We start from the raw sequence: 16,777 nt of genomic DNA on the forward strand, positions 1-16,777 counted from the left end.
GTAAATGGTAGTACATCCATAAAATGGAATGTTATGTGATGATAAAAAGGAAATGAGCTATCAACTCATGAAAAGACATGGAGGAAACTCAAATGCATATTTCTAAAAGTAGCTAGTCTATAAAGGCTACATATACATACTTTATGATTCCACATATACGACATTCTGGAAAAGGAAAAGCTTAGAGGCAGTACAACGATCAGTGGTTGCCAGGGGTTGGGGAGGAGGGAGGGAGGAATGGATGTGGGTGAAGCATCACTATTCTGTGTAATATTACAGTGGTGGATATATGATGGTATGCATTTGTCAAAACCCATAGAACTGCACAACACAAAGAGTGAATCCTAATATAAACTATGGCCTTGGCCAGGTGTAGTGGCTCACACCTATAATCCCAGCATTTTGGGAGGCTGAGGCAGGAGAATCACTTGCGGTCAGGAGTTCGAGACCAGCCTGGCCAACATGGTGAAACTCTGTCTCTACTAAAAATACAAAAATTAATCAGGCATAGTGGCACACAACCTGTAATCCCAGCTACTCGGGAGGCTGAGGCAGGAGAATTGCTTGAGCCCGGAGGCGGAGGTTATAGTGAGCTGAGATCGCACCACTGCACTCCAGCCTGGGTGACAGAGCGAGTCTCCATTAAAAAAAAAAAAATCACTATGGCTTTTGTTAATAACAATATATTAATATGGGTTCATCAATTGTAACAAATGTACTGCATTAATTCAAGATGTTAATAATAGGGAAAACTAGGGGAGGTGGGAGTATATGGAAACTCTTTGTACTATCTGCTCAATTTTTATGTAAACCTAAAACTGCTCTAAAAAGTAAAGTCTAATAATTTTTTTTTAAAAGAGACTCAAAATGATCAGTTTCATGATGAAGGGAAACTCTGTCTTCTACTATATCTCATATCTTTGCTTGTTCCTCAAGGGCCCTGGTCTAGCTTGTTAACCATCGTATTCCCAATGGCACATAGATGCTCAATAAAGACTGCTAAATCAGTATGTTCAAAAGGCTTAGCCATTAAAACCTGCTCTTGGCTGGGAGCAGTGGCTCACGCCTGTAATCCTAACACTTTGGGAGGCTGAGGTGGGTGGATCGCTTGAGGTCAGGCATTGGAGGCCAGCCTGGCCAACATGGTGAAACACTATCTCTACAAAAAAATACAAAAATCAGCCAGCTGTGGTGGCAGCCACCTGTGGTCCCAGCTACTTGGGAGGCTGAGGTGGGAGGATCACTTGTGTCCGAGAGTTCGAGGCTGTAGTAAGCTGTGATAACACCGTGATCAGCCTGGGTGACAAAGTGAGATCCTATCTCAAACAACAACAACAACACTTTTGTTCTTATCACTTTATACTCTGTTTGACAGACAGAACTTGACCAAGCACAAACCACTGAATTATTAGTTATTATGTATGGAACATTTAATGTGTATCAGCCATTTTTCTAGAATCTTGACATGTAGTACTTAATAATTCATTTACTCCTCATGAGAACCTGGTGAAATGGTACTTGTTTTACAGATGAGGAAACTTGGCCATAAAGAGTTTAAATAGGCCGGGTGTGGTGGCTCACACTTGTAATCCCAGCACTGTGGGAGTCTGAGGCAGGTTGATCACCTGAGTCAGGGGTTCAAGACCAACCTGGCCAACATGGTGAAACCCCATTTCTACTAAAACACACACACACACACACACCAAAAATTATCCAGGCGTGGTGGTGCACGCCTGTAATCCCAGCTACTTGGGAAGCTGAGGCATGAGACTCGCTTGAGCCTGGGAGGCAGAAGTTGCAATGAGCCAAGGTCATGCCACTGCCACTCTAGCCTGGTCAACAGAGCAAGACTCTGTCTCCAAAAAAAAAAAAAAAAAAGAGCTAAAATAACGTGTTCAAGGTTACAGAATCTGTGAGTTATAGAGCCAGGATTCAAACCTAGAGAGTCTAGCTCCAGAGGCCACACTCTTTGACAACTCACTACAATAAAGCTGTGAGAATAAAGACGTGTACTTCCTCACTTAAGGAGATTTCAGTATACCAGGATAGTGAGGCATGAAGACTACAGACTATTGTAGAGAGGGCTGATCTCTGTCCTCTGGAGGGCTCACCAAGCACAGCTCTAATGGATACACCTCAGCGGGGTGGCTTGTTTATCTACATCCTGAGCCTAGTTTTCCCTTCAGACACTATCACAGTCGACATTACTTACTGATCCTTTCTTCTGTGTTCATCATTTCCCCCAATTAGACTCAGACTCCTTGAGGTCGGGGATGACTTCTTATAATTGGCTCTCTACCTGCATGGTGAATGGTTGTCTTAGTCAGTTCAGGTTGCTATAACAAAATACCTTAGACTGGGTAATTTATAAATAACAGAAATTTATTTTTCACAGTTCTAGAGGCTAAGAAGTCCAAGATCAAGGCACTGGCAGGATCCCTGTCTGGTAAGGGCTGCTGTCTGCTTCCAAGATGGCACCTTGTTGCTGAGTCCTCACATGGTGAAAAGAGGGCAAAAGACCCAGGGAGCTTTCTGAAGCCTTTTCTATAAGGGTATTAATCATATTCATGAGGGCTCCATCCTCATGGCCTCCTCACCTCCTAAAGTCTCTAGCTCTTAATACTATCACATTGGCAATTAAGTTTTGACATATGAATTTTGGGGGACATATTCAGACACTAGTAGTGGTTAATAAATACTTTTGGATTGATTCACTGTTGGGAGAACACTCAATAAGAGAACAAATTCAAGTCCAATTTTGAATAAAAATAGAGTTGAAAAGTTATTGGGTTTGTGTTTGTTTTTTAGGATGTTTGGTAGCAGATTTCCACTTTATTTACATTTGGTTAACTGTGAAGTCATAGTGTTTGATGTTAGCCATATCTTTGATGGCCCATTAGGGGGCAAATGCTTGTGTAAACCATTCATACAAAAGCAGAGAGGGGTCCCCACTGGATCCCAGAGTTAAGGGGTCAGGAATCACCAGACTTGGTGGAAGGGGTCAATCTTCGGGGAGTTGGAGAGCTATGTTTTAGCCTAATATCGTCACTGGTGCTGTGTCTGGGGTAGGTCATTTAACTTCTCTAAGCCTCAGTTTTCCCATCCATGACATGAAAGGTCTCTTTTTTGTGGGGGTGGACAGAGTCTCGCTCTGTTGCCCAGGCTGGAGCACAGTGGCGTGATCTCAGCTTACTGCATCCTCTGCCTCCCTGATTCAAGCGATTCTCCCGCCTCAGCCTCCAAGTAGCTGGGATTACAGGCACACGCCATCATGCCTGGCTAATTTTTGTATTTTTGTAGAGACAGAGTTTCACCATGTTGGGCAGGCCAGTCTTGAACTCCTGACCTCAGGTGATCCACCCGCCTCGGCCTCCCAAAGTGTTGGGATTACAGGTGTGAGCCACCACACCCGGCCAATGTGAAGATAATTTTACCTGCCCTGCCTACTTTTTGTGTCAACTGAGATTTTGGTAAGTAAAAGATCAGGATGTTATGTAAATTGAGAGAGAACATGGTAGAAAAGGATAGTGATTAAATATTTTGTACTTCATTTGACATTAATTCTGCATTAGAGGCTTATTGTTTGAAACAGGGCATTGTATAAACACCTTTTTTTTGCTGTTGCAGGATATGTTAAGGGCTTCTGAAAGAGGGTTTTGGTCATCTGGGTTAGCTGTTGAAGAACACCAAGTGAATGTCCTCTTTTCTCTCTAAATAAATTTCCCTCTGCTGGGCATGGTGGCTCATGCCTGTAATCCCAGCACTTTGGGAGGCAGAGATGGGAGGATTGCTTGAGGCCAGGAGTTTGAGACCAGCCTGGGCAACATAAGGAGACCCCCATCTCTACAAAAAATGAAAAGAAAAATTAGCTGGTCTTCATAGCACACATCTGTTGTCTCAGCTACTTGGGAGGCTGAGGTGGGAGGATCACTTGAGTCCAGGAGGTCAAGGCTGCAGTGAGCTGCGATCGCACCACTGCACTCCAGCCTGGGTGAAGAGGAAGACCTTGTCACACACACACAAAAAAAACATAAAAATAAATAAAATAAAATAACATATATAAAACATCCAGCCCAGTGTCTCACATGTAGTAAGAGTTTGCTGGTTGTTATCGTTTCACATGACAGCCATGTTAGGTTTATTTGCATATATGCCAGTCAGTCCTATTTGATTATAAGTCCCCTGGGGGCAGGCTCTGAGTGTACTTATCTTTGTCTTTCTTCTTCTGGAACTGAGAACTCCCTGAAGGCAGGGACTGTTTCTTATTCTTTTCTTTTTTTGTTTTTTTTTGAGACGGAGTCTCGCTTTGTTACCCTGACTGGAGTGCAGTGGTGCCATCTCAGCTCACTGCAACCTCTGCTTCCCGGGTTCAAGTGATTCTCCTGCCTCGGCCTCCTTAATAGCTAGGATAACAGGCGTTTGCCACCATGCCCGGCTAATTTTTGTATTTTTAGTAGAAACAGAGTTTTACCATGTTGGCCAGGCTGGTCAGTTCAGGTTGCTATAACAAAATACTTTAGACTGGGTAATTTATAAATAACAGAAATTTATTTTTCACAGTTCTAGAGGCTAAGAAGTCCAAGATCAAGGCACCGGAAGGATCCCTGTCTGGTGAGGGCTGCTGTCTGCTTCCAAGATGGCACCTTGTTGCTGCGTCCTCACATGGTGGAAGGAGGGCAAAAGACCCAGGAAGCTTTCTGAAGCCTTTTCTATAAAGGTATTAATCATATTCATGAGGGCTCCATCCTCATGGCCTCCTCACCTCCTAAAGTCTCTAGCTCTTAATACTATCACATTGGCAATTAAGTTTTGACATATGAATTTTGGGGGACATATTCAGACCCTAGTAGTGGTTAATAAATACTTTTGGGTTGATTCACTGTTGGGAACACCTGACCTGAACACCTGACCTCAAGTGATCTCCCCGCTTCGGCCTCCCAAAGTGCTGGGATTATAGGCATAAGCCACTGCACCCAGCCCATTTCTTATTCTTGTAGATATTTGTTCTTAGCAAACAGCAGGCACATGGTAAGCAACATAGAAACTAGGTTGAATGAGTGAATGAATGAATGAATGAAGGAGTAAATGAATGGATGGAAACCCACAAAAATGAAGAGAATGGAAACCCAGGAATAGAGTGTGATTCCATATGCCTGTTATTTTTGCTTGACATTAATTATCAGATCTTCTCTGCTAGGATCTTGGCTGACATGCATTTGCTGGAGTTGACTGGATTATATAATTGCTGTTTTCTGTCTCTGCTGTGATTATGACTGAAACAGTGGATACATTTACGGTGCTACATAAATAATAATTATTTTAATTATGGTTTGACCTGTACAACATATTCTAGCAACGTAGCTGACTGTGCATTTGTGTATGTGCTCCCTTGAGAGTCCTGGAGAAGACTCCTATTATGAGGGTACAAAGGAATCTCCCCTCTATGCACATGGTAATTTTACAATTATAACATGGAGAATTACAATACCACTGTAATTATAGCAAGTTTTCAGAACAAAATGGCTTTGAAATAATATATAATCTAGCTGTATTGTACATATGTAGTATAAAATTTAACAATATTTTATTTTTGGTGCCAGGAAAAATGGATGTATGGCCATTTTTCCAGCTTCCTATAAGAGTACAAAAGTGACTTATAAATTTTAAGTGAGACTTAAGCAACATGATTTGTGTAACATGCTTAACTAAGTGCCCAGCATGTAGTAAGTGCTCAGTAAGTATTAGGTAACTGAACTTAACTAACAACAATGATAAAAAAAAATCGGTATCATTTGGTCATAGTGTATCTAAGTAAGCATTTGATATAAATGATGGTGTCTCTGCATTTTAAAAATGATCCTAGGGAACTCAGATTTGGTCCACATGCCACCTGTAGGCCCTCACCAATTCAGCGAACTTTTTTTTTTATCCCACTTGTACTGCATAGGGGACCATGCTAGGCACTGGAGGGGTTGAAGAATGGTTTAGGCCCATGGAGCCCATGGGTAGGACACAAAGATAAATATGATAATAACTGCTGCTATGAAACTGACAATGTAGTGAAAGAGACAAGACAGTCATGGAATAATAGAATTCTCACTGAGCACTTACTACATGTCAGGCAGTACTCTATGATTTTACTCATGAAAAATCATTTAATCTTCACAGAGACAAGGAAACGGAGGCATAGAGAGTTAAATAGGGTGTTACAGATAAGCAGCAGTTGAGATTCCAACTCAGGCTGTCTGATCAGAGTCTACACTCTTGACTGCTATATTATGTTTTCCCCTTTACACCTCACACCTTTAGTGTGCAAATAGCAGTTATATAAATATAATTTGCAGAGAGGGGTAAGAGAACTACTGTGGGTACATTACAGCCAAGATATTGGGACTACTTCTCCAAGGAGTGAGATTGAGTAAGAAAGAACAGCTGCCTAGAGGTTTTGACTGACACTCCCCATTTCCACCAAGTCTGGGGTAGACTACTCCTATGGGATCCCACAACAACTATAATTACCCCTATTTGAGCCCTAAGTACATTTTACTGCAATTGCCTGTTTATCTGTCTCTTGGCCATTAAATATATAAGCTCTTTGACCTGCTTGGACATATTTGTATCCTGAGCATTCAGGAGACCCTCAAGAGTTCACTGAGGGCTGGGCAGAGTGGCTTGCACCTGTAATCCCAGCACTTTGGGCGGCCCGGGCGAGAGGACCTCAAGCCCAGAAGGTTGAGGATGCAGTCAGATATGATCATGCCACTGCACTCCAGCCTGGATGACAGAATGAGACCCTGTCTCTTAAAAGAAAAAAATTTACTGATATGAACTGTCACCATTTTTTTCCCTGAAATTAGATGTTTTACACAATAAAATGAATACAGTTAATTTAAAAGACCAGATGCCTTGCAGAAATGCTCATTTATATAGTGCTAAGATTTGTTGAGCATGTAGCTCAGGATTTGAAACAGTTTTGTGGCTAAAAATCAGTAGGATTACTGGAGCAAAAGTAAACCTTTTAAATGCATATGTCATGGAGGATGAATGTTTCCCAATTATCTGGAAAGTTAATATGGCATTTTAAATGAAATAACAATAAATCCTCCTTCTGCTCTCATTTGAATGCTCTGTGCTTTTCTATTCTATTCACACATAAAGGATGTTCAGCCTTTCCAGTCCAGTAGGAAATACATAGCCATGGTTGTCAGACGGGTGCTATTTAATTGAGTAGACAATAGAGGGAAACCAGGTTCACACAAGAGAGGATGACCATATTTCAGAAATGAACAAAATTAACAATTTATGATAATTAATGTATTCTCAAATTCCTTCCAAGGAATACTATTTTTCATGTTATCAAATTCTGCCTCCATTGTTATTGAAATGTTAGAATATTAGAAGCATATTCTTTCTCACACCAAAGTTACTGGCTTCAGGATCTGAGTCAGCTGATTTCTAAGGGCACTCTCTCCTGGAAAACATTAGGGTGCTTTTTGGAGACATGGAGGGCTATGCGTTTATTTTTAAAAATTCATTTCCTAGGCCAGGTGTGGTGGCTCACACCTGGAATCCCAGCACTTTGGGAGGCTGAGGCGAGTTGATCATCTGAGGTCAGGAATTCGAGACCAGCCTGGCCAATATCTTGAAACCCTGTGTCTACTAAAAAATACAAAAAAATAGCTTTGTGTGGTGGTGCACACCTGTAATCCCAGTTACCTGGGAGGCTGAGGTAGGAGAATCCCTTGAACTCGGGAAGTGGAGGTTACAGTGAGCCGAGATCGCACCACTACACTCCAGCCCCAGCAATAGCATTAAGACTCTGGCTAAAACAAACAAACAAACAAACAAAAAATGTATTTCCTAGAAGACACAAACCCTCCCCCAGGACTTAAGCCATACTCTGCTTCTTCAAGAGCCCTCTTTGGGTTCCCCCTGATGCTTTTTTCTCGAGGCTCCTGGCTCACAGACAAGCTCTGAGCTGCCTGTCTATGCATTGCTTGGTCTGCCACTCAGGCCCTTACCATGTCCACTTTTGGCAATGTTTTTCATGCATCTTCAGTGAGTGTCAAAACTCCATCCCCAAAGGTGATATTTGACATTATTTTGGCTGGGCACGGTGGCTCACACCTGTAATCCCAGCACTTTAGGAAGCTGAGGAGGAAGGATCCCCTGAGGCAAGGAGTTTGAGACCAGCCTGGACAACACAGTGAGACTCCTGTTTCTACAAAAAAAAATAATAATAGTAACAATAATTAGCTGGGCATGATGGTTCGTGCCCATAGTCTCAACTACTAGGGAAGCTAAGGCAAGAGGATTGCTTGAGCCCAGGTCAAGGTTGCAGCAAGCCATGATCACACCACTGCACTCCAGCTTGGGCGACAGAGCAAGACCCTATCTCAAAAAAAAGAAAGAAAGAAAGAAAGAAAGAAAGAAAGAAAGAAAGAAAGAAAGAAAGAAAGAAATATATATATATAACACATTGTCTGAAATAGACTGGATTCATTCATTCGTTCCTTCAAAAAACATTTGATGAATGCCCAGTATATGCCAAGCACTGTCTGGCAGGCACAGGCACTAGAGTGGCTTATGAAGTAGTGAGGCTCCTTGTTTTCATGAACTTTATACTCTAAAGAGAGGAACAAACAAAAAAACCAAGCAGATGAGTATGTACCTATAAACTGTGATGAGTGCCATGTGGTAGCCCTATGATGAGAATAAGAACAGGAAGGAGGGGTCAGGGACTTCCTTCCTAAGGACAGACATTAAATCTGAGATAGGAGGGGTAGGGAGGAAGGCTAGCGAAAGGGTGGGAGAGAAGGTGAATGGAGAAAAGTTTTCCAGGCAGAGGAAAGCAGTGTGCAGATCCAGAGGTGGGAAAGAGCTTGATGGATTTTAAGAAGGAAAAGACCATTGTAGTAAGGAAAAAGAGTGGTATGAGATGACATTGGAGAAGATAGGCAGAGCCACATTTAGGTGTCTGGGTTTTGTTTTAAATTCAATGGGAAGCCATCGAAGGCCACTAAGTAGGAAGTGACACTAATCAGATTTACGAAAGAGCACACTGCCCATGAGAATGGCTAAGATTAAAAAGACATCAAATGTTGGCAAAAATACAGAGCAAATGCAACATTCATATCTTTCCAGTAAGAGTATAAATTGGTATAACTACTTGGGAAATTGGCAATATCTACTTAAGTATGCATATCCCATGCCCATCAATTTCATTCCTAGGTATATTTCAACAGAAATGCATACATACACTCACCAGAAGAAAGGCATGAGAATACTCATGGCAATATTATTCATAATAGTCAAAAACTACTTGAAAACTACTCAAGTATCCATCAACAGTAGAATGGGTAAATAAACTGTGGTAAATTCATACAATGAAATACTTCCCAGGAATAAGACTAAACAATCTACAACTACAAGCAACAACATGGATGAATTGCATCAACAAAATGTTGAATAAAATATGCCAGGTACAGAAGAGGATGCATGGGATGATTCTACTTACATAAAGTTTTAAAGCAGGAAAAACCAATCTTATGGTGTTGGAAGTTAAGATAGTGGTTCCCCAACCCAAATGCTCATCAGTGACAGACCGAATAAAGAAAATGTGGCACATATACACCATGGAATACTATGCAGCCATAAAAAATGGTGAGTTCATGTCCTGTGCAGGGACATGGATGAAGTTGGAAACCATCATTCTCAGCAAACTAACACAGTAATAGAAAGCCAAACACCACATGTTCTCACTCATAAGTGGGAGTTGAACAATGGGAACACATGGACACAAGGAGGGGAACATTACATACCAAGGTCTGTTGGAGTCTGGGGGGCTAGGGGAGGGATAGCATTAGGAGAAATACCCAATGTAGATGACGGGTTGATGGCTGCAGCAAACCACCATGGCACGGGTATACCTATGTAACAAACCTGTGCATTCTGCACATGTATCCCAGAACTTAAAGTATAATAATCATAATAGTAAAAAGATAGTGGTTCCCTTGGAAGGAGGGAGTGTGGAAGGGGCGTGAGTGGATGTCTGGGATGCTGGTCATGTCTTATGTATTGATCTGGCATTGGTCACATGAGTATGCTCTTTTATGTAAAACCACTGAGTTATACAATATGGTTTGTGTTTCTTTGTATATAAGTTATATTTCAATAACATACATATAACTTGCATAAAAAATAAGACTTTATTATTATTTTTTTTTTTGAGATGGAGTTTCACTCTTATTGCCCAGGCTGGAGTGCAATGGCGCAATCTCGGCTCACTGCAACCTCCACCTACTGGGTTCAAGCAATACTTCTGTTTCAGCCTCCCGAGTAGCTGAAATTTCAGGTGTGCACCACCACGCCCAGATAATTTTTATATTTTTAGTAGAGACGGGGTTTCAACATGTTGGTCAGGCTGGCCTTGAACTCCTGACCTCAGGTGATCCATCTACCTCAGCCTCCCAAACTGCTGGGATTACAGGCATGAGCCACCACACCCGGCCAAAAATAAGACTTTATGTTTTAATAAGGGTACCCCCTGATTGCTGTGTGGAGAATGAATTGCCAAAGGCAGGAGTTGATGTAGGTAAGCAATTGGAAGGTGATTCCTTGAGAGAGGAACCTCTTGAGATTAGGTGGATGCCGTGGAGCAACAGAGGAGTAGACAGATTTGAGAGACTCTTGGAAAGTAAAAATCAATAAAACTCGCTATTGGCTGGGCACGGTGGCTCACGCCTATAGTCCCAGCACTTTGGGAGGCCAAGGCAGGTGGATTGCTTGAGGTCAGGAGTTCGAGACCAGCCTGACCAACACGGTGAAACCCAGTCTCTACTAAAAATATAAAAATTAGCCAGGCATGGTGGTGCACGCCTGTAATCCCAGCTACTCGGGAGACTGAGGCAGGAGAATTGCTTGAAGCCAGGAGGTGGCAGTTGCAATGAGCCAAGATCATGCCATTGCACTCAAGCCTGGGCCACAGAGTGAGAATCCGTCTCACACAAAAAATTAAAAATTAAGGCCAGGCGCAGTGGCTCACACCTGTAATCCCAGCACTTTGGGAGGCCGAGGTGGGTGGATCATGAGGTCAGGAGATCGAGACCATCCTGGCTAACACAGTGAAACCCCGTCTCTACTAAAAAATACAAAAAATTAGCCAGGCGTGGTGGCGGACGCCTGTAGTCTCAGCTACTCGGGAGGCTGAGGCATGAGAATGGCGTGAACCCGGGAGGTGGAGCTTGCAGTGAGCCAAGATCACACCACTGCACTCCAGCCTGGGCGACAGAGCAAGACTCTGTCTCAAAAAAAAAAAAAAAAATTAAAAATTAAAAAAAAATTAAAGTGGCTGGGCGCGGTGGCTCACGCCTGTAATCCCAGCACTTTGGGAGGCCGAGATGGGCAGATCACGAGGTCAGGAGATCGAGACCATCCTGGCTAACACGGTGAAACCCCGTCTCTACTAAAAATAGAAAAAATTAGCCGGGCGTGGTGGCGGGCGCCTGTAGTCCCAGCTACTCGGGAGGCTGAGGCAGGAGAATGGTGTGAACCCGGGAGGCAGAGCTTGCAGTGAGCAGAGATCATGCCACTGAGCTCCAGCCTGGGCGACAGACCAAGACTCCATCTCAAAAAAAAAAAAAAAAAAAAAAAAATTAAAGCTTGCTATTGGCCTGAATGGGAGTTAAGAGAAAAGGAAGAAGAAAGTAAACTACTAGATCTGGAGTCTGGGTTACTGAATGGTGGTGTTATCATTTGAGATGGGAAAGTCTAGGGGATAATCAAGCTTGGGTAAAAATCTACAGTTCAGGACTCAAGGCTTCCCATCATGTCTATTGGTGCAAGGCTGATTTTAGAGGAAATGGAGAAAATCAAAATGACTCAGAACACCTATAGCTTTGCCAGCTTTGACAAGGACTCTCTGGACAAAAAGAGGGAACATTCACATTCTAAAGAATTTTCTTCCCAGGATTTCACAGTCTCTCCTCCAACTCTTCTCCACTCCTTTAGCTCTGGATCTGACAAGCAAACTCCTGCCACCAGAAAAGTGGTGAGGATATCCTTGCATTCCTCTCTCTGCCAGAAAGTGGAAAATTCCCGTGTCTTCTTTTTAGGTCAGAGAGTGTTGCAATTAAAGAGAAGACTTTTCCTAGGATAAGAAGGTAAGGAAACAAAAGTACCAACCAGAGAAAACAAAGTGGAAGGAAAACGAAGAGTGTTTTCTGAGCTGCCGGGGTTCTGACCCGAACAACACAATGTTGAAAGAGCTGCGATGCTGGAGCTGCAGGGTGCAGGCGGGGGTGTCCAGGGCAAGGCAGGAGAGGGCGTCGGGGATCCTATATTATATGGTAGGCATGGTAGGTTCTGCAGAGGATTCCGGCACTCAAGCTTATAGTCATTGAACAACTTTGAATAACACAGTGTGGTCTGCATTTCAGAAGGATCCTTATGGTAAGATTGTGGGGGGTGAGGAGAAGAGGTGAAGATTGGAGTTGGGAGATGCAGTTAGGAGGCTGTGACCATAGTCTGGACAAGAGAAGGCAAGGACTTGAACTAAGGCCCTGGAGGCAAGAAGGAATGAAAGAAAGACTTGGTGCCAAGAATGATTTGGGAAGTCAATCTGGAGATTTCCCAGTTTAGGGAACTGGGCAGATTCTGATGGGGAGGGGAATGGGCTAGTCAAGGACAACGTCCAAGCTGAAGGGACCCTTGGAACTGTGACATCAACAACTGAGATAATACAGGACAAGAAGGAGGTTTACAGGAGCTTGAATAGGATTTGTTGACTCCTATGATCTGGTGAGAGCCTAAATCCTGTTTCTGCAAAAGTCGTCATTGTTCTGGTCAATCGATGCCCCACCCAGGCACTGAGTCACTGGTTCCATGCATTTGTTCATATGCTAATTTGTTCATAAAGTTCTGGGAAATTACTTTCTATTTCTTATCTCCTTGCTGTTTCTTCCTGGTCACCAAATACTCAGCCTTGCACGTAGAAGGTACTGTATCCAAATTACCTTTTGAATTTAGTGGCTTTTATACAGTTTGAACCATAATGCTAGGAAAAGGACACAGGAAGCCAGGCGTGGTGGCTCACGCCTGTAATCCCAGCACTTTGGGAAGTGGAGGCCAGCAGATTGCTTGAGCTCAGGAGCTAGAGACCAGCTTGGGCAACATGGCCAGACCCCATGTCTACAAAAAATACAAAAATTAGCCAAGTGTAGTGGCACATGCCTTTGGTCCCAACTACCCAAGAGGCTGAGGTTAGAGGATTGTTTGAGCCCGGGGGTTGAGGCTGCAGTAAACTGTGACTGCGCCACTGCACTCCAGCCTGGGTGACAGAGCGATACCTTGTCTCAAAAAGAAAAAAAAAAAAGACAAAGGAACACTAAAGCCCACCCCATTTAGATGAGAGGAGAAAAAGAATGTTTTCCTTTGAGTTCTTTGGTTAGCAACTCTGTCCCCATTATGTGCACATAAGTTATTTCAAATGGCAAAGAGCACAATGATGTTTGAGATATCATTGCTGAGAGCCAGGAGGGTCCCTGTTCTTTCCTTATCTGAGTATGACAGTAGCTTGAGTAAATCAGTGACCTCTGCTACTCAGTTTCTTTTTTTTTTTTTTTTTTTTTTGGAGACAGAGTCTTGCTCCATCACCAGGCTGGAGTACAGTGGTGCCATCTGGGCTCACTGCAACCTCTGCCTCCCAGGCTCAAGAGATTCTCATGCCTCAGCCTCTTGAGTAGCTGGGATTACAGGTGTACACCGCCATGTCAGGCTAATTTTTTTTTTAAATTTTAGTAGAGACAGGGTTTCACCATGTTGGCCAGGCTGATCTTGAACTCCTGGCTTCAAGTGATCTGCCCACCTCAGCCTCCCAAAGTGCTGGGACCACAGGTATGAGCCAGTATGCCCGACCTTCTACTCAGTTTCTGTGTGCAAATGGTGATAGAATGCTGCCCTTTCTTTCCGTGGCTGTGAAGAGCATCAAATAAGCTCATATATTCAGATATGCTTTGGAAGGAGTAAAATGGCATTGGAAATACCGGGCCATGTAAAATGGAATAGCAAAACTAAACTGAAAGGAAATGACCTGTATACTTCTATTGGTCCATCTGGATTTTGGAAGTATCAGGGTAATTGAAATATTTATTTTTCATTCAACCTTCAGGTAAAATGTAGACCCAGCTGGTGTTTATCCTCTAAGTGGTGTGTGTAATTGCACGTGTGACACAAGGATGAGCTATTTGTCACACAGCTTTAGAATGAAACTTGAAAAGGTCACAGAGAGGGCTGTGAATTTTAAGCTGTGCTCCAAGATGGAGTGCTAAGCAGCACCTATCAGAAAAGCTCTTCCTTTGTCCTCCAGGTGGGGTGAAGAGGGAACTCTTGAATCTCCAATGCCACTTTCTCAGGTTCTATTGGTGGCTTCAGTGAAAGCAAACAGGACTCAGACAGGCAGATAAGATAACCACTATCTGAAGTGTGAGCCTGCAGTTTTAAATTGCCTTTTATTTGGAAATACCTTCAATCTCATTTGGATGCTAAGGGAAAAACTTAAATCTATCACACACAGCCCTAGACAACTTGTTTATTAAATGTGCAGAATAAAGATTTGATGCGAACTTCTATGGCAATAAACTAGGTTCATGGGTGGGTATTAGGTTAAACCAAATGAATCGCTGACATTCAAGGGATTTTTGGCTGCAACAGTTACACAGGCCAGAACTGCCTAATCTAATCCAGGTTCTGTCACTGGCAAATGCGAATCACCTACAGGAATCTTTGACAGAATTTATATTAGTCATTCCTTACTTTTTGTGTGTGTGATAGTCTGGTGTGTCTCTAATTATCTCAAAATGTATTGAAGTATATCTTAAATCAAGTTTACTTTCATGTATCTTTACAAATAAAAATATGTCATTGCACTCTTATTTAGTACAATACGTGTTAGAGAATGAACACAAAGCTTGGAAATCATCACGATCATGCCTGAATTTGACCAGAATAGAGACAGGCATTAAATCCGAATTATCAATATTTGTGTGTGTGTGTGCGTGTGTGTGTGTGTGTGTGTGGTGCTACTGGTGTCTGTAGCAACATAACTCAACCACAAATACATGAATCTTGTAGTTGGATAAATCATTTTTGTTCAGCCAACCTTTATTTTCTCAAGTGAACAAAATGCAGCTTCCCTCAATAATATCAGGTTTTTCACAGGGCTGCCATATGATATTATTTGATAATAAATATTTTCTATAATGCATGCTTGTTTTAGAATGTTATTTTTATGGAAGAGCTTCAGAAAGTTAAATCTTTTAATTCCACAACGAAGGCTAGTCTGTCAAAATACTGTTTTTTGTGATAATAAATGCAAAACCTACTATGCCATTTCTTACCAGCAGCCAAGATTTTTTTTTTTTTTTAATGTTTGAGAATTTCAGCAGTTGATGCAAAGTGGACATTATGAGCCACGGATCTATGTTACAGGAGCCAATTTTAGACATTTTAATTTGAGTGGAATTTAAGTTCAGCTCCTCCCTTATCTCTTTGAAGTTGCTGGGGCCCTGTTGCATTTTAAATCTACTCAAAAGTGCCCATAGGAGCAAGACTCACCAGTCGCAGCCACTGATGGAGTTCATGGCCACCCCTCTCCCTGCTCCTGTCCCTATGCCTTTGTTCATGCAGTTCCCTCTAGAAGAAACACACCACTGGTCGTTCTTCTCTCTCTCTCTTTTTTTTTTTTTGAGACGGAGTCTCACTCTGTCGCCCAGTCTGGAGTGCAGTGAAACGATCTCGGCTCACTGCAACTTCCATCTCCCAGGTTCAAGCGATTCTTGTGCCTCAGCCTCCCAAGTAGCTGGGACTACAGGCATGCGACACCACACCCGGCTAATTTTTATATATTTAGTAGAGACGGGGTTTCTGCATGTTGGCCAGGCTGGTCTCGAACTCCTTGCCTCAAGTGATTCGCCTGCCTCGGCCTCCCAAAGTGCTGGCAATACAGATGTGAGCCACCGCGCCCGGCCCGTTCTTCTTACTTTTTTTTTTTTTTTTTTTTTTTTAATGAGACACAGTCTCCCTCTGTCACCAGGCTGAAATGCTGTGGCTCGATCTCTGCTCACGGCAACCTCTGACTCCCTGGTTCAAGCGATTCTCCTGCCTCAGCTTCCCAAGTAGCTGGTATTACAGGCATGCGCTAGCATGTCCAGCTAATTTTTGTATTTTTAATAGAGACGGGGTTTCACCATGTTAGCCAGGATGGTCTCGAACTCCTGACCTCGTGATCCGCCCACCTCGGCCTCGCAAAGTACTGGGATAACAGGCGTGAGCCACCGCGCCTGGCCTGGTTCTTCTTACTCTTAAAGACAGCTCAGACAGCAGCCCAAGAAGCCCCCCGCCCCGCCCCCCAAATCTCTTAGTTTGGGTAAAGCGCCCCGATTCCGTGTGGTCATGGCTTTATATTTGTCCCTCTTCCTGTTCAAATAACTTGTGCGCCTATATAGGGCCTGGCCCGCGGTGGAATGGACGCGGCTGCAGCTGGAATCGCATCACTCCCTCCTCCCCTCCCCCAGCACTGACATACGAGCCCCAGTGTCCTGAGGATGACTCCAAACAGCGTCGGACCTTCAAGTGGAACCTCAGGCTTGTTAAGGAGTGGCCTGGAACTGCACCAGATTTTAGGGGTGCCTGGGGAGGCTTAGAGATGGGAGACGCCCTGACTTGGTTCCTTTCCAGAACATTTGGGAACACTTGGCTTGGTTTCAGTCACCAAATGCGG

Source organism: Homo sapiens, chromosome 4 (genome assembly GCF_000001405.40).
Source record: "Homo sapiens chromosome 4, GRCh38.p14 Primary Assembly".
Taxonomy (NCBI): domain Eukaryota; kingdom Metazoa; phylum Chordata; class Mammalia; order Primates; family Hominidae; genus Homo; species Homo sapiens.